The sequence below is a fragment of the Homo sapiens genome, chromosome 8, assembly GCF_000001405.40.
Source record: "Homo sapiens chromosome 8, GRCh38.p14 Primary Assembly".
Classification (NCBI taxonomy): domain Eukaryota; kingdom Metazoa; phylum Chordata; class Mammalia; order Primates; family Hominidae; genus Homo; species Homo sapiens.
In genome coordinates this window covers 53788206-53815543 of record NC_000008.11, presented here as the reverse complement: position 1 = coordinate 53815543, position 27338 = coordinate 53788206, and the positions used below count along the sequence as shown (strand labels likewise).

General features: G+C 37.5%; 1 protein-coding gene across 5 annotated transcripts in view; it reads left to right on the top strand.

Moving 5' to 3' along the window:
- Nucleotides 1-27338, top strand: part of ATP6V1H (ATPase H+ transporting V1 subunit H) — a 127703-nt gene that overhangs the window by 27702 nt on the left and 72663 nt on the right. For 2 of the 5 annotated variants that reach the window (NM_015941.4, NM_213620.3), the window contains exons 6-9: nucleotides 778-882; nucleotides 4327-4380; nucleotides 13648-13745; nucleotides 19705-19897. In NM_015941.4, coding sequence (NP_057025.2) covers nucleotides 778-882; nucleotides 4327-4380; nucleotides 13648-13745; nucleotides 19705-19897 — 450 coding nt within the window. Of the gene's footprint in view, nucleotides 1-777; nucleotides 883-4326; nucleotides 4381-8728; nucleotides 8803-13647; nucleotides 13746-19704; nucleotides 19898-27338 lie in introns of those variants that run through there. The other 3 variants (NM_213619.3, XM_006716455.4, XM_011517542.2) reach the window with 2 other exon arrangements.

Sequence of the window (27338 nt, the reverse complement as noted above, 5' to 3'; positions counted from 1 at the left end):
CTGTCAGACTGGTTTGCTGTATTCAAATGTAAGAACAAACATGAGTCTACCAGCACAGGAAATTATTTTGAGGTTAGCTAGTGTAGCCTTTCATTCTCTACTGGGATGAATTATTGCTGAATGATTTGGAGTTTTAAGACAGTGATTTGCTCTCAGTACTGATAGAATATTTATTAAATTGGTTTGTGTATGGAGAACTAGTACTTTATATTGCCTATTTAATTTTAAAAATGGTTAGTTTTATAGCTTGAAGAAAATGGAGAAATCTTTCAGGAGAAAGGATATTTGTTTATGTTGGGAGAGACGACTAATACCTAGGATGTATATTATCCTAAGAAATGGATTTTTAAGTATTAAAACTCCCAAGTGGCTTGGAATGAGTGTGGGAGAGGCTGGCAGTTTGTTGAAGAGATTGCTTAGAATTCTGGCAAGTGGTTTGGTGACAGTCTGCTTCTAAGAAAGATTTTTGTGTTCTGTTTTTTGCTGGTCATATAATGAATTCCAATCTTACTTTTGAAACTCAAAATAATACAGGGAGTGTCAAGAAATTCCTAAGACCCAGCTAATTTGGGTTCACTTTGATGGAAATATTTAAAAATATATTTTTAATGTTTGTTTCAAAATATATTTTAAAAAATGAAATATAAACTATTATTTTTAGAGGGGTTGAGTGTTAAGAAATTGTGTAGCAAAATTGTTACAAATCCTTTTTTTAAGGTATATGATGTGATTTTTAGAATTAATGTTGCGTTAAATGTATCTCTTATTTGTTTTCAGGCAGCAAGAATTATTGCCAAGTTAGCAGCTTGGGGAAAAGAACTGATGGAAGGCAGTGACTTAAATTACTATTTCAATTGGATAAAAACTCAGCTGAGTTCACAGGTAAAAGAAAATTTTTTAAAGTACCTTTGAAAGGAATATAACATCCGTGTTCTTTTAAGCTATTTATAGTAAATATGTTAAATTACAAAAATGTTTTATTAAAATAATGCCGTTTTGAACTTGTCAAGTAAACCAAACTACTCTCAGATATGGTAGTGTGCTTTGCTTTTTCTTTCTTTGACTGGCTTCATTTCAATCCTTTCTGTCTTTTCTGCCACTTGGGGTTTCTTAGTCATGCTTTTCAGGGGTCAGGGAGTACCTTTCTTCTAGGTGGCTGCCAAGATGATACAGGCTGGAGAACTGAAAGGACCCACACAGCTCCAAAGAGCACGTGCGTGTGAGGCTTCGATAAAGGAAAACAAACGGTACAGCAGGAGAGAGCATGCCTCGGGCCGAGAGATTTCCAGGCGCAGCTCCCTTGGCTGCCCCAGGATTGTGAACCACCAAGATTTGTGCGAGAAATCTTGGTTTTTGGAGAGCTCTCTGAAAGATTCGAGTGAGATCTTTTATGCCCTTTTGGTTACATAACCAGGCTAAGCTGTCTAACCGATTACACTAATAAACAAACTGGTCCTGGGTGCCACCAGGGGCATTTCAAACTGCAAACAGCATGTTCTAGATCATTATTAGCTAACCTGCTTGTCCTTGTCTGGCCAAGTCCCTCCCGTGCTTCCAGCTGCCTCTGGGTGAGCCTGGAGCTACCTGGTCCAGCTGCGAAAGGGGTGAGCCTGGAGCTACCTGGTCCAGCTGTGAAAGGACACTGTCCCACACGGTGGCTCGTTCTCACAATTTCACAGTTTCAGGGTGGGATTAGTTAGGCCTAACGAACCTACTGGTCATGTTGGTTGCTTGCAGGCCTTTCTAGCTCTATGTCTTCGTGGAGGAAGATAGCCTGCAGGTGTAATGCCTTGGAAAATGACAAGTTTTCTGTTTTGTCTTCATGTTTCCTCAGAACAGGGCAAAAGATAGGACATGAATGATGGCTCTGTGGAGTGTTAGTTTCAGGCTTACAGGGTTGAAGTGTAGGTATGAAGAGGTTTGGTGGGATTGATACTCAGAAGAGGAGAGAACTGAAGGTGGACAGGGGAGGAGGATTCTGGAGATGAAAAGGTAGAAGGGAATGAGATTTTGATGTGAGGGTGACCTAGAGGAGGAATGGGACCAGGAGAAACAATATTATTAGGTTGTTAGATTACAAATGAATGTCTATTTGAAATTTTTTGAAAGTTGCCATTTAGATTTCAGGTGACTTTATTATTTTAATAGATTTTAGTTTGAGGCATAAGAAAGACACTGTATTTTGCTTAGATTTACTTTTTGTCTTGTTGCCTGCCTTTTTTAGGGGAGCCTAATTGCCATTTGTATTTGGATGGAGATATTTTAGAGTTTCTTGATCAAAATCTTTTTTATGTTAATAGCATCAATTTTAACTGGTTTGGGGCTCGGTTTTAAAAAGCGTTTTTACAAGAGCCACCATTTTATTGAGTTTGTGAGATATTTCAAAAACAAGCTATTTAAAACATGTAAGAAACATGCTTGTGAAAGTGAGATTTAAAATTTCTAAATGTAGCATATTGGTTGGGATCAGAATGTTAGTTAAATAGGATACACTTCTCCCTTTTTTCCTGCTTTGAAATGATCTCTCCCTTTAAATAAACTTCATTCCAGGCCTGGTGTGGTGGCTTATGCCTGTAATCCTAGCACTTTGGGAGGCTGAGGCAGGCCAATTACTTGAGCCCAGGAGTTTGAGACCAGCCTGGGCAACATAGCAAAACCCCGTCTTTACGAAAAATAGAACAATTAGCCGGGCGTGGTGGTGCACACCTGTAGTTCCAGCTACTCAGCAGGCTGAGGCAGAAGGATCACCTGAGCCTGAGGAGGTTGAGGCTGTAGTGAGCTGTGATCGTGCCACTGCACTCCACCCTGAGTGACAGTATGAGACTCTTGTCTCAAAAAACAAAAAAAACCCCACAAAAACAAAACTTCATTCTGGGTAATGTTAGCTTTCAGGTATAGTGGTAATAAGGCTCTGTAGCTGAATTCATAAAATGAAAATTGGTAGGGAAGAATGGATGCCGTGGCGTGCTACTAGCTTTTTGGGCACTTCTACCTTAAACTTTTCCTCCTAGGAATAACAGATACATTGTGCCTCTCAGGTGACTGTCACTTCTGGAATGATTGACTATGCTTGTAATGATGTGCAACAACTGGGAGGAATATTTCTCTCATCACTAGTGGAAGTAAATATTTCAATGTCTAGAATAGTTTTCATTAGAATTGAACTTTTTATAGATAAATGCTCTTCAAGTATTTTCTGCATCTTTTTAGTGCACTCTTTTTTATCACAGAGTGTTTGGCTTTAAGTTGTGGACTTTAAATTGTGCAGTGCCTCTGCTTTGCGGGTCCTTCTGCTGCAGGGGAACTCTTCAGGGTACCCAGGCTTAGCCTGGCCTTGCTTCTTAGTCTGGCTACTGCTTCTGCTTGGCTCTCATTGCACTGTCCCTCTTGCTGTGGGCAGGCACTTCTTCATAGCCTTCTATCATGATTAAAATTCAGACTCTTCGTTTTAAAAAGTAACAATTATTTGTGATATTACTTGCTACTTTGCTCAATTGTCATGCGATAGTGCTACATCTAGAGTGTCTCTTTTTTCTCTGTCACAAGTGTTTTTCTCTCTCACAAAAAGTACCACAATTTCATGATTCTAATAGAAATAAACTTTCAAAAGTCCAAGTTAGCTGCAAGTTTAGATGTTTTGTTCTTTGACCTTATAGTGGCCTTTGAAGCCTTTTTGGGTAGTTTGGAGCGTTGCACTTGGGTTGTGGGGACTCATGCCTGTACTTCATAGATAGTAGTTATTGAATGATACAAAGTTAACATTTCCTTTCAGAAATTCATTATTGCTTTTCTCTTGCACTTTCAGCCTCTGACTTTCTTTAAATTTTCTTTGGTCATTTCTATATGACATTTGAGATTTTGATTGTCATTATAATTCATTAGCTTTGCTGTGGATAACCAAGTCACATATTGTACCTTCCTGACATCAGGCACCTATTTTTGAAAGCTTTGCTACAGAATATAGTGTGGATAGTTCAATTTAAGGCAGTCATTTTACTGGAAAAACAATTCAGTAAGTAAATCTTAAGACTTGGAAATTTGCACTAGCTTTACCCATGAAATTTACCTGGAGCTTAGTAGTCAGTTTATTATTGTTCCATTTTTAGCTACTTACTGATTAATATATTATCTGGAAGAATGTAACGATATTTAGAACATTTTATGTCATCCCCTTGCTTTTTATTTAGTAGGATTAGGAATAAAATTATAGGGGAAAAATTATTACATAGAATTAGGGGAAAAGTTTGCTTAGCTCCCTTTTGTAAGCTGATACATTAGGATAAAATCAAAACAAAACTAAATAATGAGTTATTTATTTCGTAATAGAAACTGCGTGGTAGCGGTGTTGCTGTTGAAACAGGAACAGTCTCTTCAAGTGATGTAAGTATATTCCTTCACTGGCCTAAACATCCCCAAAATAAATTATTTTGAGTCATATACACTTAAAATTTTGAAGGTGTTTACTAGTTCCCCAACTATAAATCCATGGTCACCTCCAGTTAGGTTAATTGTATTATAAACTATATATAAATATTGATGGTCTGTGGAGATCATCTTTTCTGTGGTAGACATAAGACTTGTTCTTTCCCGTTGCTCTTTTTTCCAGGTGACTTTTGTTTCAGACCTGAGAAACAAAGCAAAAATCAGAATTCAGAAGCACAACTGGAGCAAATAATCATAAAGTTTTCTCTTTAAACTTCAGTTATCTGATTAAACTGTCTAATATCTGTCTAATCAAAAGGTGAACAAAAGCGTCAAACATTTGAAAGAAATTCAGTTACTTTTATTTATTTATTTATTTTTTGAGACACAGTCTAGCTCTATCCCCCAGGCTGGAGTGCAGTGGCACAATCTCAGCTCACTGCAACCTCTGCCTCCCAGGTTCAATTAATTCTCCTGCCTCAGCCTCCCGAGTAGCTGGGACTACAAGCGCCCGCCACCACACCCAGCTAATTTTTGTATTTTTAGTAGAGATGAGGTTTCACCAAGTTGGCCAGAATGGTGTCGATCTCTTGACCTCGTGATCCGCCTGCCTTGGCCTCCCAAAGTGCTGGGATTACAGGCATGAGCCACCACGCCAGGCCTTCTTTCCACATTTTTGTAGAGCCAAAAGGCTCTACATAAATACATAAATAATCTACATAATTAAGATTAATTATGGCTCCCCAAGTTCCTTTCTTGGCTAAAGTTACGTTTTCCATTTGGGAATGGCTGAACTTTGCTGTGCTCTAGGAATAGCTCAGGAACTGGAAGTAAGTTTGGACAAGTTAACGATGTTCATGATGAGAGCCAGTTGATAGAAAGTTAGGGAAAACGGAGACAGAAACAGAAGTGTGTCTAGCTTCCTTTGTTGAAAGTATCACTAGGAAACTAGGAAGTATCTTTAGAGGGTAGTTTCTGTAACCTGCCTGCAATAGACCCAAGTGAAGCTCTGTAGGAGCCATTTAATATCCATATTGGTTGCTGGTACTCCCATAATCTGAATGAATGTCACGGGTATGTATGTTCCAAGACCATAGATGGCAGCAAAATCCATTTTGAAGCTGGGCTTCTCTTGGAGCATGGGTTGAAGTGTTTGATGACTCATATGTTAGGCCAGAAAATGGCTATTAGCCTTCTGAAGTGGAATCAGAACAAGGTATAGAACTAGATACGCGATCCTGGGGCCATGGTGGGCTGAGGAAATGGTAGGTAAGAAGCCTCGTTTCTCAATCAGAAGCAGATGTTTACATTGAGAATCTTTATTTTGCTTAAATTGAGAGTCTTCATTTCATGTGTCTTGAATTTCTACCAGTTTGAAAAATTATTTAGCTTATTTTAGACTTACAAACTTATTTAAGTGGTTGTCAAAGTATTTTAAGTTATTAAAGCTTAAATAAGGAAATGCAAACTCTGCTGACATGACATCCTTATTTTGCTATTTTCTGTGCAGTGTATTAGAAAAACAAAATTAACTGAATTGGTGGTGTGTTGGTCTAAGTGATTTACCTGGTAGATTCATATACATCCCAAATGGAATTCACATCAGGAGTGATTGTGAGTTAGGAAAAGATGGCCTTTGGTTTCCTACCTTCTTCCCTTTAGTGACTCTCAACCCTGAACATATTTTTGGACTCTTCCTGAAGTTCTTACTTTTTTAGATGGCTGTCTACTTGAAAAGCAGACCTCCATGTGTTGAGAGTAGGGTGTCAGCCCTTCCTTTGATTCTTATATTTCCATAGGGGAATCTTAATATAGCAGCTAATATTCATTGAGCACTTAACTATGTGCCTGACGCTTACTCATTTTACATTTACATCTCCTTGAATATTTACACTCCCTGTTCAATGTAGGTCATATCATTAGCCGCATTTTATGGATGAGTAGTGAGACCAAACAGAAAAACATACCAACATGCCCGAGGTCACACAGAGACTCTGAAGAAATGGATTGCTTAGAGAATTACTTGTGAGGCAGCTGAGTTGGAATTGCATCTTTAGGCATTCCTCAAGTTGCATTGCTTACTCAGACTTTTTAAGGTATCAGTATCACATCTTTAAATCATATCTTTTCAGAGTGGAGAAAAGCAGTTTGGTAAACTGCATTACAAATTATTGCCACTTGATGTCAGTATAAAACAAGTTTTACACTGCAAAATGTGAAATAAACATGATTCAACAGTCTTACCTTTTTTAAAATGGCCTCAGAAGCATCATTTTAAGTTATAAGTGGATCATTACAAACATTTTGTTTTTTTTTTTTTTGAGATGGAGTCTCACTCTGTCACCCAGGTTGGAGTGCAGTGGTGCGATCTCAGCTCACTGCAACTTCTGCCTCCCAGGCTGAAGCGATCCTCCAGCCTCAGCCCAACCACCACCACCAACCTCTGACCCCCATCCCACCAGTAGCTGGGACTACAAGCACGAGCCACCATGCCCCGCTAATTTTTTTTGTATTTTGGTGGAGACAAGGTCTCGCTATGTTGTCCAGGCTGGTCTTGAACTCCTGAGCTCAGGCAATCTACCCGCCTTGGCCTTCCAAAGTGTTGGGATTATAGGCGTGAGCCACTGTACCCAGTGAAACATTTTTATTTAAATGACATTAGATAAGTGGAATTTCCTTAAAGTGCATTATTTGTCTTCTCCTAATTGTGAAAATAGACATCAGATTATATGTACTTACTTTAGACTGTCTGAGTTGTTTACTGATTCTTAAACATGGATTGTAAGTCTTTTCTTCTGAGGAAGGCAGGACAGCGTGGAAGTGGATTGCTGTGCTGATGCCCTGATGAAAGAATACTGTGATTCCTCCACAAACTTTGGAAGATTTAGAAAGAACCTGGGGATTTGTTTCTTTCTCTGTTTTCATTTTTCCCCTCCCTAGCTTCATTTTTACAGTACGCATAGGCAAGAGAACGATTCATGAGAGAGCCCACATGTTTCCGTGTCCTGTTCTCTGTGATTTGTGTTGCAGAAGCAGTCTGGAATGAGTAGTTGCTAGATGAATGCTGTGTCACTAGTAGTGACTTAAGTTGCCAGGTCCTTCTTGCTTGTTTCATCTTGCCTCTTGATTTAGTGGAGCAATCCATGTCCAGTAGAAATTTCTGTGATGGTAGAAATGCTCACGATAGCTGTACTGTCCATTGTGGCAGCCCCTAACCATATGTGGTTCTGGAGCCCTTGGAAGTGTTGCCGGTGTGAGTGAGGAAGTAAATTTTCAATTTTATTTAGTTTTAAAAAGAGCCTTATTGAAATATATTTCACATGCTATAAAATGCATCATTTTGCCATTCAGTGATTTTTAATAAATTTACAGAATTGTGCAACCATTACCACAGTCTAACTTCATAACATTTCAACATCTCAGAAAAACAAACCAACCAACCCTGTACACATTAACAGTCTTCCCCATTCCTGTTCTTGCCTCCAAGCCCTGGCAACCACTAACCTACTTTCTGTCTTGGGATTTGCCTCTTTTGGACATTACATATAACTGAAATCATACATGGTCTTCTGTGACTGGCTTCCTTCACTTAGCATAATGTTTTCAAGATTCATCCGTGTTTTAGTGTGCAGTAACAGTATTTTAGATTGAGAGGAAAAAGGACTTAGTTTTTTTTTTTTCTAAGTAGAGATGGGGGTTTCGCCATGTTGGCCAGGCTGGTCTCGAACGCCTGACCTCAGGTAATCTGCCCACCTCGGCCTCCCAAAGTGCTGGGATTACAGACGTGAGCCACCACACTTGGCCTAGGACTTAGTTTTTTTTTGGCTTTTGACCAGATTCCTTAAATTGTTTTCTCTGGCAGTTCTAATATTCTTGTTAATGAGAGACTAGTTTGTTTTTAATTTAATGCTGTGCTGATGTAATACTTGTCACCCCTTCAGAAGAGGTGGAAGACTTCTTTGCTTTAGTTCTTTACTGCTTTGATTATAAGTCCATCAAAAGTGCTGATTAAGTAGCAGAAATCAGTGGGCCACATCAGTTATTCACATACTGCAGGCCTGTTATTAAATTGTAGTCTGCTGTAGCTGGTGAGTTGTGAAGTTTGTGGGGACCTGGAGTAACTCACAGGCAATTACAGACAGTCCCTGCCCTACGATGGTCCAACTTATGATTTTTCAACTTTACAGTTGTGTGAAAAGCATATACATTTGGTAGAAATAGTACATGAAGTATCCATATGACCATTATGATTTTCACTTTCAGCACAGTATTCAGTAAATTACACGAGCTGTTCAACACTTGATTATAAAATGGGCTTTGTATTGATTTTTGGAAGGATTGCCTGGAGATATATTCTGAAATGCAAAAGAAAATTAACTGGTAAAGTATTTAAATTTAAGACTTTCTTTTACATGTCATTTTCAAAGTATAGCACTGATAACAATAATAAGCTAACCTAATACTATGTATTTATCAGTTATGTTCTCGGAAGTTGCATACAAAGCAATAATTTATAAAGAAAATCACTTTTTTTTAGTTATGCTGACAATTTTTTTTCTGTAATAAAGATTCCCACTAGTCATGTAATTGAATTACTGGATTAAGCACATTAGATTGAAAGCAGTACTTTGAAGATTTATAAATTTGTAAACCAATAGTAAAACTATTTTTTTTTTGGTGAAACTATCTTCATTTAGATATTTTATGACTGTTGACTAGAGGATCTCTTTTAATCAGCCAACTTCAAGAGAATTCTTGGGGTATATATGTATTTTAATTCCTGAATATTGATAATAATAGTATATTTTACAATTGTTTAGTGTTTTGTAGAAATTGATTTCAGTGTCATGACAGTTTTTTTTTATTTTTCCCAGTGGTAGAGATATTATTTTTCTTTTCCTTTGCTAACGAGAAAACAATTTTCGAGATTAAGTGATTTGCCCAACATTATGTGACAAAACTTCTGATTCTTGTTCTAGTTTTTACTCTGTCCTTCTCCCTCTCTATTCCTCTTTTACTTTCTTTTCTCTATTTCTTTTTTAAAATTATGTCATAACTTACATAAAGGAAAATGCACAGATGTTAAATGTTCAGCGAGATAAATGTATACCTCATAATTCCTCCTACTGCCTTCACCTCAACTCGCACAAAGGTTATCATTATTATGACATCTATTACCATAGAGTAGTGTTGTCTGATCTTGAACTCCATTTAATGGAATCATACAGTATAAATTCTTATGTGTCTGAGCTCTCTTGCTTAATATTGTGTCTATGAAATTCATTCATTGCATTTAGCAGTAATTCTTTTTCATTGCAATGTAGTATTTCATTATATGAATATTACTCATTCTCTTATTGATGGATATTTGGGTTGCTTCTAGTTTTTTGACTCTTGTGAATAATTTTGCTGTGAACATTCTTGTACATATCTTTTGGCAGATGTATACCTTTATGTCTGCAGCACCTAATTTTAGAATAGAATTGCTGATTAATGGGATGTATGTAAATTTAGTTTTAGTGGATCTTGCCTGTTTTTTCAGTTTGTGTGCCCTTCAACAAAGCATGAAAATTCCATTTGTTTCAGTTCTTTACTGACACTTGATATTGTCCTGTGTTTTCTAAGTGTCTATATTGAAGCAAAAATCACACATACACACATATACAATCACCTTTTAGTTTTAAAAGAAAAAGAAAAGTTTAATAGTCATGAAACATATTAATTACTTTTAGAACTTTGATCAGCATCTTTTCATTTCACTTAAAACTGCTTTCTGGGACTTATTTTAGTCAATTGTATGTTTGAAAAGTTCATCTTTGTGGTTCACTGATACCAATGTGCTGTGCATTTTCACCATGAATCTGTGGAACAGATGCCTTTTACTCCAAGCAGACTTGTTTTCTCAAGTGCGGATAATTCCAGAATGTAGATGAATACGGTCTTTATTCTTTTTCACTTAGTTTGCACTTAAATCCTAGCATTATGAAGATGAATATTGAAAATTTGTAAACATTTTTATAACATTAGTTTTACTTTGTACATACAGTATCATTGATGTTTTTATGTTTCGTTTATTGCATACTTATTTTGCAGTTCCTCAATTACTGAATTTGTAATTCTGTAGTATATGGATCTCTGAGACCACATTCACCAGGAAGGTGAATACTGTAGTTGCTATTATCTTTGTGTTGTGACTTTCACTGTAATATAGTAAGAGCTTGCATTTTCAGCAACATTGAAGAATTTATCTAAATGACATTCTCTTAAATGTGTTGAGAAGTGAAAATAGTGTTTTTCTCTGCCATTGAGGTTTGCTGTATAGAAAGTGCATGTTGTAGCAAGTTCTTAGCTCAGAATGCTTGGCACAGTACAAAGAATACTAGCTCAAGCATGAAGAGAGTTGACTTCTACTGCCAATCTAAGATTAACTCGCTATTTTCTTTTTTTTGAGACAGGGTGTCACTTTGTTGCCCAGGCTGGAGTTCAGTGATGCCGTCTCTGCTCACTGCAACTTCCACCTCCTGGGTTCAAGCGATTTTCCTGCCTGACCCTCCTGAGTAACTGAGACTACAGGTGCATGCCACCTGCCCAGCTATTTTTTGTATGTTTAGTAGAGACAGGACTTTGCCATGTTGGCCAGGCTGGTCTCAAACTTCTGACCTCAAGTGATCTACCCTCCTCGGCCTCCGAAAGTGCTGGGGTTACAGGTGTGAGCCACTGTGCCTGGCCAACTCAGTATTTTCATTTCAGCAAATTATATCACCTTTTTATGTCTTGGATTCCTCTTCTGAAAAAATGAGTATCATAATAATACGCTGTTGGTATCATAAAAGGGGAAATTTTTATTTCATCTTTAACTTCAATTTAAGTGAAAGACCAGGAAGTAATGCACTCTACTTTGCGTAATTGAAGGCAATAATTTAATCATTTACCAGTGCTGTTTCTCTCTATACTATGAAAGTAATCTCTGGAATGGTATGGCTACTGCCTGATAGTGTGCAATAGGAGAGAGTATGTCAGATTTAGGACCAGCACTTTTTATATGCTCATTTGTAATGGGAATACTGAAGCTATAAATAACAACCAAGAATCCATCCTTGTAGTGTGTTATGTATTTCAACATAGCATGGTGAGTAGCCACAGAAAAGAAACACTTACCCTGAAACAAAGAATTTTTGTGATGAGAGGAAACTGATGGTAAATGGAAGAGAAGAGGGTGCTCTCTGTTGCCTTTTTATTCATTTGTCTAGAAATCTTGCTTGGTTATCTCTCTAAGCAGGAAAGATGGGATTCCTCTTCTTTAGAAAAAGTTTCTACCTGATGACTTAATTGGAAAAAAAAATATTTTTTCATTATGGAATGTTGTTTTAGAACTGAAAATGCACTATTTATCTGTCTTTAATTTTTGCTAATGTTTCGAGTTTTCAGGCTAATTATATTACTAGATATATTGTGTTTTTGTGGAACTAAATTAACTGCTTTTTAGGTACAACCCAAGATCACCTTTTCTTGATACATTAGACTATTCCACCAAATGTACTTATATTGTTTTGTTTTTGTATTAAAGTGCCTGGAATTTCTCTGAAGTGTTAGGTTTTTATGAACGGTATTTAAATTGGAACAAAGTTTAGTAGCATCATGTATGTTAGGTTCTGTGAATTTATATAACACCTGTGATTCTTTCCTTAAGAAATTCTTTTTGAAATTAGCATGTTCATTTTGAAGGCTGTTGTCTGAAATTTCTTTTCCTTTCTCTTCTTCTTCTTCTGTTTTTATTTTTTTTTTGAGATAGAGTCTCACTCTGTCACCCAGGCTAGAGTGCAGTGGCGTGATCTTGGCTCACTGCAACCTCTGCCTCCTGGGTTCAAGTGACTCTTCTGCCTCAGCCTCCTGAGTAGCTGGGATTGCAGGTGCACGCCACCACACCTGGCTAATTTTTGTATTTTTAGTAGAGATGGAGTTTCGCCATGTTGGCCAGGCTGGTTTTGAACTCCTGAGCTCAAGTGATCCACCCGCCTTGGCCTCCCAAAGTGCTGGGATCACAGGCGTGAGCCACCGCACCCAGCCTCCTTTCTCTACTTCTTAAAGTCTTAAGGCTTATTGTACATATTTAAGGAAAAGCCCAGGTCAGATGTTCCCACTAGCTTTGGTAAAATGAAGGGGCTTGCAACTTTCTGGGAGTATTACTCCTGTTTATTTTAAGTTTCAGGTTTAAGCACAATTTCTAAGGGACAATGTTATTGAACTGATGGTTTTAAAAATCATAGTCTTTTTCAAGTGTTTAATCAGACTTTTTATATGCCATATGGGTTTTTAAATAAAGTTTTTATTTATTGAGTTCCTATGTTTGTCTAGCTGTGTTGTAAAATGAATTATTATTTATTTATTTATTTACTTTTTTTGAGACAGAGTCTCACTCTGTCGTCCAGGCTGGAGTGCAGTGGTGTGATCTTGGCTCACTGCAACCTCTGCCTCCTGGATTCCAGCAATTCTCATGCCTCAGCCTCCCAAGTAGCTGGGATTACAGGTGTGCGCCACCAGGCCCAGCTAATTTTTTGTATTTTTAGTAGATATGGGGTTTCACCAGGTTGCCCGGGCTAGCCTCGAGCTCCTGAGCTCAGGAAATCCCCCCGCCTCAGCCTCCCAAAGTGGTAGGATTACAGGCATGAACCACTGTGCATAGCCTAAATTATTTTTCTTAAATCTAACAATATTCAGGGTGCTTGGCAGTGTTTTTCTCATGAGGATGAAGAAATTTCATATTGAAAAAGTTCAGGAACTTGTCCACGGTCATTTACATATAGGCCTATCTTGAAGTATTTACTCTTCTTTTTGTTAATTTTATTGTTCTTTGATAGTTCTGTAATTATGTGGAACAGTATTCTCTATACATAGTATCTTTATTCAGGGATATGTGAAACATTGCAAGGCAGTGTGCTTATTTATCAAACTGTATCAAATATAAATTATTTTGTTCCGGATTTCCCTGTGTGTTAAGTAGTCTTGACTTGTGTAGATTTAATTCAGGAGACAAAATCTTGTTCATTTCTAAGAGGTAGAGATTAAAGCAAACATGAGGATTAACTTTTGAAAAGAGATTAGGGAATTTTGGATGCTCAGATGGTAATTCCAGTAGGTAATCTGACTTTTCATTTAGAAATGTGTGTCTGATCGCATGACTTTAAATGCTTCCCATTTAAAAACTCAACACTTCTTCTTGTGCAGAGTTCGCAGTATGTGCAGTGCGTGGCCGGGTGTTTGCAGCTGATGCTCCGGGTCAATGAGTACCGCTTTGCTTGGGTGGAAGCAGATGGGGTAAATTGGTGAGTGCCCTTTCCTTTTAATGTAAAATAACATTTACAAGCATCTCTCCTTGACATTTTCAAAGAAATATGTAATCATCTAAAAGAAATATTTTATTTTTTTCATATCTGTTTAACAATTGACTATGCTAAGCTTTTTAGAAGTTAGTAACTATCAAACTGAGCCCCTTTCCTTGCTTGATCTGTTCTTTTATAAGAGGTTAAGGCCTCTTAAGAACCTAATGCTTAACAAGACAGATTCCAGGTACTCAGAATATAAAAAATTTTAGAAAATAATTGATGATGAATGTAGGCAAAAATCAACAAGAAAAGTTCTTACCCAGGAAAGAGTGAATATAAGCCTTTCTTTCTAATGCCATATAATTTAGCCCAATCTTTGTGGGATCCTAATTTGCAGGTATAGAAACTTTGAGGAGCTGCCTGTTCAGGCTTATACAGACAAGCACCTGAAAACCTCCAAAACAATGGAAATCTTGTTTTACCATCAGAAAATCAATTTATTTGTTCATGAGAGATCTAACTGCTTTTAAACCAAATATTCTTTTCATTTAGCAAGGCATTGTTTCTCTGTTAGAAAATCTACAGAGGAGTTTAGGTTATCAACAGTAAGTTGCTTGGTGGGTGAGGATTTAAAGCAAGCATTGGACTCTTACCCTGTATCTCCAGTGTAGGATATACCTGTGAAGGGACCCAAATATTCTAGGTCTTTTCAGTCAGTATTTGTATGCAATTTCTTAGAATGGGTTACTTCTGCGAATAGCTGTTCTTGTGAGTTGTTATTTGAATTGTCACAACTATTCAATATCCATCAATTCAGTAAGTTACTAATTATTTTTCTATTAATCTATAAAATTTCAGTCCATTCTTGTTTATTTAATCCTCAGTTTGCCAGGAAAAATAGCCATCACAGTTTGTCATCTGGGTCCAACAGACCCTTTAAAAATATATTTTTAGTCATTTTGTGAAAAATTGACGGAACTAAGAATAAAGAGAGTGAAAAACAACTATTAGAAATTTCAATAAAAATTAAAATATAGCAAACCTTTTTGTAAAAAGTACATTTTGATACACAAATATCATAAAAGATTACAGAAAATCATCACATGTCCTTGAGCGAAATGATCTAGGTTCTTGCTGCAGAATACTGTCTGGAAGTCTTTCATGTTCAGTGGCTAACTAGTTGAGAATACTATATTTCCTTTTTGTCCTTAGAAATATATTCCTCATTTATCAGTTCCTGAGTTTGAGTAAATGCATTTATGATATAGCTATCTAGAGACTCACAGTTTAAGATTTCACTTATTTGACCCATTTCACCATTATTGTTAGAGAATAGAGTGCAATCTATCTCTTTGTTTTCATCTTCTGAATAATCTAATAATTGTGAAACACTTTCCTCTGTTGGTCATTATTATGGGCAGAAAATAAAAAATTCTGAATTCTCAGCTGTGTTCACACTTGTCAGGAGATTCATTAGAAAGACTCACAGACATAGCATATAGTTCTATTCACAGATAAGATTTATTACAGAGATACAGTGAGGACGCACAGCTGTATCATAAGGGACAAAGACACAGGCTGAGTATGGAGGAATCCACGTGCAGGCTCCCTTATGCTCTCTTCCTCCCAGAGGGGTCGCACAGGGTATCTTCTCCCAGCATTGAAAATGCAGCAACATTTGTGTGAGGTTTCTGTCCCGGAAACCCATCAGAGACTCAGCTCTGAAGATTTTATTAGAAGTTAGTTATGTAGACACACTGTGCCTAAAACACACCAAAATTTCAGACTCCTGAAATAAAGTAGGTGTCTTAATCTATTTGGGCTGCTTTAACAAAATACTGGGTGGCTTATAAACAATGGAAACTTACTTCTCACATTTCTGGAGGCCAGGAAGTCCAAGATGAAGGCACTAGCAGATTTGGTGTCTGGTGAGGGCCTGTTTCCTCATTCATAAATGGCCATCTTTTCACTGTAAACTCAGATGGCAGAGGGGACAGGGGTCTTTCTCAGGACCCTTTTAGAAGGGTACTAATCCCATTCATGAGTGCTCTGCCCTCATGACCTAATCACCTCCCAAAGGCCCCACCTCCTAATACCATCACCTTGGGTGTTAGTCTTTGAACATGTGAATTTTGGAGGGACACAGACATTTAGACAATAGCAGTAGGAATTCAGCATAAGCCACATGTTTGTACAAATGGTTTAGTTTGATCAATTTAGGAAACTTTACCAGCCAAATTCCCAGAAGCCAGCCAAAGGCCAACCTTGTAAGCACGTCTTTCTGAGGCTAGCAGCCTTAGGACTTTGCTGTTAACTCTTTTCTGCACAGAAACGTAAAGGTGAACTACAAAAATGGTGTTACCAGTCTTTTTACCTCCATAAAAGATAATGCAGTATTTTGGGCAGTGCAATAAAGGGTAATTATTTATTTCACTATTATATCATCTTCCTAGGTGATTCCATCAATCTCTAACTTTCTTATTATTTTAGTCTTTGATTTCTTAGTATAATTGGTTATAATCAATGAATAATGATAAAATAATATATAGGATGATAAAACAGCATAAGACAACTAAAATTCAATAATATGTGGTTTATAAAAGAGTCCAGTAGAATTGTTTGGCAGAATTAAAATTCATTTTATCTTACAATTAGGGTTATTGTAAGATAAAATGAATTTTAATTCTACTAACCAAAAATTAGATTTTTTTCTCCCTATGGAGGACCTGTAAGAAAGAATCAAAGTCATGAAATAGCAATCTCTACAAATAGTTATAATTGCTTATAAAATAAACTCAAATACCAAAATTTGGTCCCTTTGAACTCTCATGGTATACTGAGTACAACAAATGCTGCTGTTCTGATGGCTAGTACCTTAGTATTTTAGAGACCATTCAGCAATGTTAACCATTTAGCAGCAAAAAGATCAGGATAAATATAATCTAGACTATTTCATGTTCAACCAATATATTTTGATATGCTAATGACCACTAATAAGATTAGCAGTAATCAGATAAACCTTTAGGTGGAGAAATGGGCATTAATAAAAGTATAATAACTTGCTGAAAGTATAGCAATTTCAAAAAGTCATTTAATCTTTTCATTTTTTCAGAAATATGTACTTTCTACTTTTTGAGTTTTTGCTTAGCATTGAATTTGTGTGTGTGTGTGTGTGTGTGTGTGTGTGTTTCTCACATTGCAAATAGGAATAATGTGAGGAGAAAAATTTTCAAGTATAGCCCATTTGAAGAGAGGAAGATAACTGAGGTCTTTTTTTTTCCTTTCTGAGACAGAGTCTCACCCAGGCTGGAGTGCAGTGGTGCAATCTCAGCTCACTGCAACCTCCGCCTCCTGGGTTCAAATAATTCTGCCTCAGCCTCCTGAGTAGCTAGGATTACAAGTGTGCGTCACTACCCCCAGCTAATTTTTGTATTTTTAGTAGAGATGGGGTTTCACCATGTTGGCCAGGCTGGTCTTGAACTCCTGACCTCGTAATCCACCTGCCTCGGCCTCCCAAAGTGCTGGGATTATAGGCATGAGCCACCTTGCCTGGCCGATAACTGAGGTCTTAAAAAAACCCAGCACATTTTAATCTATATAGTTTGCTGACTTTTTTATTGTTGTTAAAAAGCCTATTATATACATAATACAACACTGTTTATTTGTATACCTATGTAAGATAGAAAAATTTACATTATATTGTGCTATATATTGTTAGCCTCACAAGAAAGTCTGAAGGTTAACATTAACTTCCTAAATATTGGAGCTATAAGTGGGCCTTTGCTGGGGGTAATTGCCTCTACTGCCCAAAGTAATTTATAGATGCAGTGCTATTCCCATTAAACTACCATTGGCATTCTTTTTTATTTTAATATAATTTGATATGAAGAATTATTAACTAAGTACACATTTGCCCTTTTTGTATTTTTTTGGGAAATTTTTTGGTATTGTTATGTTTTTTTGATAGAGATGGGGTTTTGCCATGTTGCTCAGGCTAGCCTCAAATTCCTGGCTCAAGAGATCCGCCCACCCTGGCCTCCCAAAATGCTAGGATTAGCAGCTTGAGCCACCATGCCCAACCACTAATTTTGTTTAAAGTGGAAAAAAAAAAATGACTCTTGAGTGTCAGAAAGGTAGTGAGTGCAGATACCACCCATAAGGTGGGGTGGGTGATGTAAAATAGGTGGGCAATGGTAAGAGACTGGAATCATTAAAATTTGCATGCTTGGAGGAGGGGCTGAGTACAGCTGAAATTTAGACATTTGAGGAGGAGGTTTTGCCCAGCTGATATTGGTGTCTCTGAACTCCGAGGAAAAGCCTCATGGATTTGGAACCCAGGACTCTGGGGAGGGGAGCCAGTTGGCTAGTGCTGACATCTTTGAGGAAATGTGATGAGGCTTGTTCTGCTAGAGCTGGAAAAACTGCAAACTGAATTTGGCTGCTGCTGTGGGAAAGAACTGCTGCTGCCGGGTTGAAGGAGTGTTACTGGGGTAATGCTCTCAGGATCAGGAAGCCAACAGGAGGAAGTCTGTTCTTCCTTCCTTGAAGTCAGCCTCTAGCTCCTGTTCTTGGCATAGCCTAACATGGAGCCAACTGGTAGAACAGAAATGTGGTTTTCAGGGTCTCAGCCACAGCATCACAAAGCCAAGTGCAGAAGGCTTGGCTTAATAACTGGAACAGACAGCAAAGGAAACCAGGGACTAGGGTGTTTACAGTATAAAGTGACATGATTTTATAGCAGTTTATGTACTGATATCAATATTAATTAAAAAGCAAGTTTTACATAACATCCAAAAATAGAGAAGACAAGGCAAAAGCCATGCATGAGAACATTAAAAACAATTAGTGAACTGAACTATATACAAATCATACAAATGAAGAAATGACACAGATAAAAGCCTTTCAGTAAGTTACAGTAAGTTTAGATTGTAAAATCAGGCTTAGCATTTTAAACATTTATATTATTAGAGCAGCTTTAGTTTTACAGAAAAACCAAAAGTGCAGAGAGTTTCCATTACATCCTCTCCTCTCCCGCCTCAAATTTCCATTATCATTAACATCTTGCATTAGTATGGTATATTTGTTCCAAATGATGATCCAATGTTAATAGATTTTTATTAGTAAGTTTCCATAGCTTATATTAGGGCTCACTCTTTGTGTTGTACATTCTATGGTCTTCGAGCTCTTAACCCCTTTGGTCTTTTTTTCTTTTTAAATGGTAGGCTCTGCTCCAATATGAAGGTCACTTTTAATGGTCTTATTTGATGATTTCTGTTTTTTTTTTTATTTGATGATTTCTGAACTCTATTCTTTGAATGTAGGTATTCCCCAGGGCAATTTCCTTAGCTTTTCTTCTATTGTATATATTCTGTCTCTTGGTGTAACCTCCTTCATGTCCATGTCATTTTCCTAGTTTCCTTATCAGTAAAGTAAGAGATCAAACTAGAAATTTGATCAAACTGAGGTTTTTGATCTCTTGATCAAACTGAGGTTTTTCCTGACCCCCGAATTCAGTAATTGGCTATGTCAAATTTGAACCCATCACAGGTTTTCACCAAGCGCTTCCCTTCTTTTCTCTGTTTCCTTTATTTTAAAGCTATCGGTGGTCTTATTGGTTGCCCAGACTCAAAATCTCCATGTAACATTTGGCTCTATTGTCTGTCCGATTGCTCTTTCCATTCCCGTTGCCATATTACAAGTCTTTGTTCCCTTTCTTCTTGCCGCACAGCAGGAGCTCCTGCTTCCTGAGATCCTGTGACTTTTGGAGAGAGGGTTAAGTGGAGCTGTACTGGAAATGGTTCTCTGTGAGTAGCAATCTAGCTGCTTGTTATTGCTGGCAGAAAAGAAACAGGACATAATTCAGAGAGACCTGTTCCATTAGTGCAAAAAGAGAATAATTGCTTATTTCTTCTTTCTAAATGTTTTGTAAATGTGTTTTTTTTGTTTGTTTGTTTTTCAGCATAATGGGAGTGTTGAGTAACAAGTGTGGCTTTCAGCTCCAGTATCAAATGATTTTTTCAATATGGCTCCTGGCATTCAGTCCTCAAATGTGTGAACACCTGCGGCGCTATAATATCATTCCAGTTCTGTCTGATATCCTTCAGGAGTCTGTCAAAGAGAAAGTAACAAGAATCATTCTTGCAGCATTTCGTGTAAGTGTTTTATGTTGGTTTGTGTGTATGTGAGGCATTTTTCACTGTGCAGTATATTTGAGTTTTTAGCAGGCGGGAAAAAATTACTTGTTCTTCTTGTGGTTATGAAACCATAGAGTCTTGGTGAATATAGAGTAAAATATCACTAATTTGTATTTATGGTGTGGGCAGTGGGATAGGTGAGAGGAAACTATCTATGAATGAAATCTGTGAGTTACAGTATGCTTGTAGGGAAATGCAATTGGATTATGTTCAGATGGAGGAAGTCCTTTTCTGTTGCAGTGTATTCCAAGAGACTGTTTTTGAAGGAGTTTCTCTCTTATGGAGCATGTATGTTAGTATGGAGTTGTGTTTCAGGTTCTGGATCTACTGACTGGAGTACATTTTTGAGGCAACTATAAAGATCTATCATTATTTAAACAGTAAAGTTATCCTATTAGGATATTAGATTTGTCAGTTACCTAAGTCATCTTCCTCCTTTGAACAGATGAGGAAGTTGAGGACAAGAGAAAGCCTAGCTAGAATCGAAATCCTAGGTTGCCAGGTGGTTTTAATACTTCACGTTGCTAATTGGCTACCGAGAGCCAGTGTATTTGCTGTGCCAATTGTCTACTGATAATTTTGTTGGTCACTTTAGATGGGCTTCTATGGGATGGCTTGGTTGAAGTAATCTCTCTAAGAATGCTATTCAAGGTTAGTAATAGTGGACATGTCCCATATAGTGCCTACCCTCTGCTATACATTGTTCTAAGATTTTTCTGTTTAATTCATTTAATGCTCACCAGAGCTCTATAACATGTTATTGTTGTTACTGTTAGTATATAGGTATCTTTGCTATACGTTGGGAATACTGAGGCGTAGAGGTCACATTGCTGATAGGTAGCAGACATGCAAATCCAGAATGTTGGCTGTAGAATCTGTGCTTTTAACCATTTTTGTTCTTATACTTTCTTTAAAAAACAAGTAAAAAATAAAAAGTGGGGCTGGGTGTGGTGGTTCACACCTGTAATCCCAGCACTTTGGGAGGCCGAGGTGGGCGGATCACCTGAGGTCAGGAGATCGAGACCATCCTGGCCAACACAGTGAAACCCCGTCCCTACTAAAAACACAAAAATTAGCTGGGCGTGGTGTCATGTGCCTGTAATCCCAGCTGCTCAGGAGGCTGAGACAGGAGAATCGCTTGAACCAGGGAGTCGGAGGTTGCAGTGAGCCGAGATCGCGCCACTGCACTCCAGCCTGGGCGACAGAGTGAGACTCCATATCAAAAAAAATAAAGTAAAATGAAAATAAAAAGTGGTACAGATGTATTGCAAAATTTAATGTAGATAACACATTTGCCAAATATAGTTACTAGCATCTTTCAGATGTTTGCAAGCACAGAGATAAATAAATAGATGTATAATTTTGTTTTGTATTTAAAAATAAAAATGACATATTATACTGGTCTATAACTTTATTCTTAATATATAGTGAATATGTTTTCATTTCTGTATATGTGGATATTCAGTATTTTTTTTAATGGCTATTTTCCGCTGTGTTGGTGTAGAGCTATTTATTTAACCAGTGCTCTATTGATGGCCATGTGGTGGTGTTTCTAGTTTCTTTTACATATGTTTGCCCACTTTGATGAATATTTCTTTTGGATTTAGTTCTGGAGATGGAACTGCCGAGTCAAATGAATGTGTTTGTACACTTTTTTTTGTTTTTTTAAAGACAGTCTCACTGTGTTGCCCAAGCTGGAGTGCAGTGGTGCAATCTCAGCTCACTGTAACCTCCACCTCCTGGATTCAAGCGTTTCTCGTGCCTCAGCCACCTGAGTAGCTGGGATCACAGGCATGCACCACCACATTCAACTAATTTTTGTGTTTTTAGTAGAGATGGGGTTTTACCATGTTTCCCAGGCTGGTCTCGAACTCCTGACCTCAAGTGATCCACCTGCCTCGGCCTCCCAAAGTGCTGAGATTACAGGCATGAGCCACTGTACCCCACCATTTTTTTTTTGAGACAGGGTTTTTACTCTGTCATCCAGGCTGGAGTGGAGTGGCGTGATCATAGCTTACTGCAACCTCGGACTCCTCAGCTTGAGGGATACTCCTGCCTCAGCCTCCCAAGTAGCTGGGACTATAGGTGCATGCCACCGAGCCTGGCTAATTTAAAAAATAAAATCTTTTGTAGAGACAGGATCTTGTTTTGTTGCCCAAGATGATGTTGAACTCCTGGGCTCAAGCAGTCCTCCTCCCTCAGCCTCCCAAAAATTGTGGGATTACAGGTGTTAGCCACAGCAGCTGGCCTGCACTTTTGGTAGATAATGTCATGCAGTTTTCAAAAATGTGCAGATTTACATTTCCATCACCTATATATTGGGAGTGCATATTTTTCTGCTCACTATAATATTACCCTTCTTTTAATTTTTACAAAATCTTGGTTTAAAAACTAAATCATTGTTTTAAATTTGCATTCCGTTAATAATGAATGAGGCTGAGCATCTTTTAATATTATTGGCTATTTATATTCTTTCTATAAATTGCTTATTCATAGCAGTTGTCACCTTCCAAATTTTAAAATTTGATGTGTAGGAACTCTTTTCTAGGTGTCGGTAGTTAATAACAGCTAATGTCTATTGAGAGCTTATTCTGTGTCAGGCACTGTCCTAATTACTTTAAATGTATTCCACATATAATTGTCCCAGGAACTCCATTTAGTGGTCACTAGGACACGAGAGGTTAAGTAATTTGCCAAAATAGCTAGGAAGTGGCAGACCAGGGATTTAAACTCAGGCAATATGATGCGTGCTTTTAACCATCATGCTAATCTGTCTTTGATGCTGAGAATAATAATTGTTAAAATTTATTAAGTAATTTTTATGCATTGCCTTATTTAAGCTTCATGATTACCCAGTAAGTTCTATTACTATTTTTATTGATAAGGAAACCAAGACTCGGAGATAATTCCCCAGTAAGTGAAAAGATTGGAATTTCACTGAGATCTGCCAGCTCCAAAGCTGTCCTCTTAACCACCCTGCTATCTCCTTTTTTTCTTGTCTCGATGCATTTTCTCAGGAACCTTAAGACTGGCATTAAAAAGGGGGAAACGTGAAAAGGAAAACCAAAGCTAATATCAGGGGAAGATTTCTTTGCTTAAAATACCAGCTGGATGTGTTAAGCCCTGTGTATTTCCTGGCTGCCTGGCAAGGGCTGAGTGAGTGAGGGACGGCATGGAGGAGTGGTGTTCAGTGTGGATTCTGGGAGAGTGTACAGTGAGATCCAGGTGTGGCCTGCTGGGTGTGATAAACACCGACCAGCTATTGACCAGGTGTTGGGCTGGGCATTAGATTTTCTTTCGATTATGTTTATTTATGAAAGTAACAGTCTTTTTCATGTAAAAATCATTCTGTGGTCCTTGAAGTTCACTCTTGAGAAACAGGCAAATGCGGAGCCTCCTTACTTCTCTCCCTCACCATGGTGGCTCTGCTCTTCATGTTTCCTGCACACTCTGTCCACATGAGTTGTCACAGTAAATTTCAGTCCAGCTAAAATAATAATCAGTTCTTAAGTCAAAGTAGGTTGTATTAATGAGGCTTTACTTTGGAGTATTTTAGTAGGTAAACTGAATGTATTTTTTTCTTCTACTTAAGTGCTTCATTATCCATATTCGTATTTATTTAGTAAAAGCAAAAATTTTCAGAAATGGAGTCTTTTGCCAATCTCTCCTAAATCACAAAACAGTTGTGGGTTCCATGTATGTGCCAGGGGCTGTGCTAATTATTCGGGGACACAGATGACCAACATAGAGCTGGACATCGAAGGTCTTATGGTTTGGTGAAGACAGTCGACGTGAATAAGCAATGCCAGTGCAATGCAGTGATGAGTGACGAAGGGAGGAAAGGCAGTAGAAGAGAGGCGGACAGCCAGAGGAGGGGTGTGAGGAGGAGACAGGGCCCGAGGGGCCTTTTGAACGGGGATGTGAGGAGAAGAGAGGGCTCAAGGGGCCTTTTGAACCAGGAATAGTTATCTTGGAAGTGCAACGGTGGGGAGAGGTTGAATGTTAACAAGTGAAGAAAGAATCTTCTGGAATCATCAGTAGTTTGTGCTTGTAGGACTTGTTATTCCTTTCCCTGACCCAGGTGACTTCTGAGAGAGTAAATGGAGCACATAAATCTGGCTCTTGAAGATGCAATCCTGGGATTTGTGGCTGTTTACTTTCTGAAGGCACAGACTTGTTCTGTGAATGGATCTTTTGCCCCTACCACTCTGGGCATAGAACTAGTGGGGCCAACATGAATATTTCAGTCATCCTGGTTATCACCTGACACTAACTTGTGCTCACACTCTTGGGCATCACTCACTGAAGCATGGCACCTTCTAATAAGACCCTTTGTCAGATCTAGTTTTAGCACTTTATTCTGTGCTCTCCTGCTCTGAGGGAACATGGAATAAGAGCTGATTCTTCTTTTAAATTTGTTCACTGTGGCAAAATAGATATTGCATCTTTTCAACTCAATAAATTTATTCTCTGAGGGCTTAATGCTCCTTCTGTTCCATTTGTCTTAGTTTTGAGTTTCTCCCTTGTCTTTCCTTTTTTTTAATTCTACCATTGTCACAGGAGCCTTTATTTTGCCAAAATCTTTTAGTGTAAATTAAGCATCTACCATTTGCAAAAATAGAGCTAGTTTGATCTTTTACTGTTATAAAAATAATGTGGTTTTATGGTTAAAAAGATACAATAGAAAAATATTAAGTAAAATTGTAAATTACCCACAATATCACTCCCACATACGGAGCCCCCTTGACGTTTTAAAACCTGCAGTTTATAATCTCTGTTCCTTTACTACAACTAGGCTTCAACTCTGGATGAATTACGATAGGCACTAAATAGCTGAAGGAGTCTTTGAAATCTCATCTCTTCATGATTTGGGTGGATCATGCTTGGCCCTCCTCACTACAAAGTCTGTATGCACTCAGGCCTGTAGTGAGTGTGCTGGCATGTGCAGTGGCAGTCAGGTTCGCTGGGCTCTTGGGCTGGCCTCCAGGCTTTGGCCAAGTTGCTTAGCCTCTCCGTGCTTTAGTTTTTTTCGTGTGTCCTGTGAGAGTAATATCATCTCTCCTACATCTATTACTTTGTTGATACTCACATGATAATACCCTTCGAAAAATATGTGCTAAATGAACCTTTGGTGCCTAATGGACCCTCAGTAAATATTTGTGACTGTATAAAGGGCTGGTCGTGGGGTGGTTGTTGGCACCAGGGCTACAGCAGTCATGGTAAACTTACTTCAGGTTATGTGAACACTGGGTTCATATAGTTGTCTCTGTGGGGTTTGTCTTTGGATGTTACCTAGACAGAAAGAATAGTGAAAAGTCTTTTGGAACGCAAGTGTGTTATTTACAAGGGAATTGCCATCCAATGAAAAAGTTAACCTGGAGGTAAAGACTGGCCCAGTTACTGAATGTTCACATTTTAAAAATTAAGAGAGAAGTAAAAACATGTTTACTTAATTAGATGAACATATAACAGAAAGCAAGACTAGAGAGAGAGGGTCCCTGTTTTCTGTTAGCACATGGACTTTTGTCTAAATTGGAAGTTGTTAATAAACTTGGTACTGAAAGCTTTTTTCAGAAAAGGAGATATATTTTGTAACTGCTAAACTGTTAGGAAAGATGGTTACATTTGACTCAATGTCTTTGCTATTAGATTATCCTAGAAAGATGAATTATTATTGTTTTTATTATCTTTTGTGTGACTTTCCCTTAGGGGCAATAGAAAGGTCAGCAGTTTCCTAATTAGTTAATGTGGAAGTGAATAGTACTATTTTTCCATTTACCTCTACCTGTTCTTTTCTGTATGTTATATATTTTTTGAAATGAAAATATCTATTTTTCAAATTGTAAAAGATTGTAAAAATTTATAATTATTTCTTGTTATAGGCTTTTAATAATTTGTTAATAACTTGTCTATTTAAGGTGAAATAGACGTATGGGAAAGAGCTGTAATAGAAGTCAGGGTCTTATTTTAGCTGTCCTGTTGTTTCAAAGAATGTATCTTTCCCTTATATCTTTTCCTCTCAGTTTCAAGAGACTACATGGCTTTTAAAGGTATTATTTAGAATATTTTAAGTGCTGCAAGTTTCTATGAAAAACCAGGTATTAATAATTTTTTTTCTTTTTGAGACAGAGTCTTGCTCTATTGCCCAGGCTAGAGTGCCTGCTTCGGCCTCCCAAAGTGCTGGGATTACAGGTGTGAGCCACCGTGCCTGGCCCAGGTACTAATTTTTAATAATGGGCTGAGATTTAATCTAAAGCCCAGCAAAAGCTGCTTTAATCATTATATGATATTCTATCCAAGCTTCCCACATACCCTACTTTTTTGTCCCCACTTAGTTCCTCCTCTCTTCCTTTGTTTTTCACTGAATCATTAGGTAAAATAAAAAGGTTATTGGAAGCATGTATCTAATACTGTAATATCACAGAAGAGAGATATTAGTTGATATTAATTGAATCCTGCCTTTAAGTTCTTCCTTCTCCTTTTCTCTCCCATTCTTCCTCTTGTATTTATTCATCTATCAGTGCATCAGATGTTTATTGAAGACCAAATATATGTAAGGCAATTTGTTGGTTACTGAGTATATGGAAAGATGCATAAGATAGAATACCTTTTCTCAGAACCTTTGCATTTTGTTTAAACCTTTGTTTTGATAGCGTAACTTGATGAAGTCACTGTGTTTACGGTATACAAAGCTCAAAAAGTCACCATAAGTGTAGAGCCAGACTGAGATTCCTAAGTTTTTTCTTTTGACCTCATTTGGGAGCTTTCTGAATTAATTATGTACCTTTATGGAAATCTGAGAAATAGAGTAGTGTAACTGTTTCATAATGGCGCAGTAGAAGGATAGACAAGAGTCTCTCTGGAGTGGATAGACCTAGGTGTGAATTCCAGCACTTGATTGTTTAGTGTTGGGAGAGTGGCTTGAACTCCCAGAGCTAGTTTCTTTATGGTGAAAGGTGGTAGATGGTACTTAACTCATTTAAACATTAGGTAAGGAATCCATGAAATAACAGTTAAAGTGTCTGCAATAGTAAATATACAGTATGTATTTATTTCCCTGCCCTTTTCTCCATAAAATCATGGAATAATAACAGTTTTCCTCTTTATCTCTGTAAGTTGGATTCTTGCTAAGTTAATATTAAGCCCAGGTAAAGATCTAGTGCTGTTTTGTTTGATTTAAAAGAGACAGCATGAATATGTTACTAATATTTAGCAAGATTTAAAAATCTCATTTAAACTATATTTATAATTTCAAATTTTTACTTATAATGCATAGAATTTAATAATTTATGGGCTTCTATTGTCTAATTTTGGGTTTCAGAATATTTAAAATAGACCCAGTCCAATGGCAGAAATATTAGTTTTTTTTAGATTCTCATATGCTAAATTTGGGGTAATG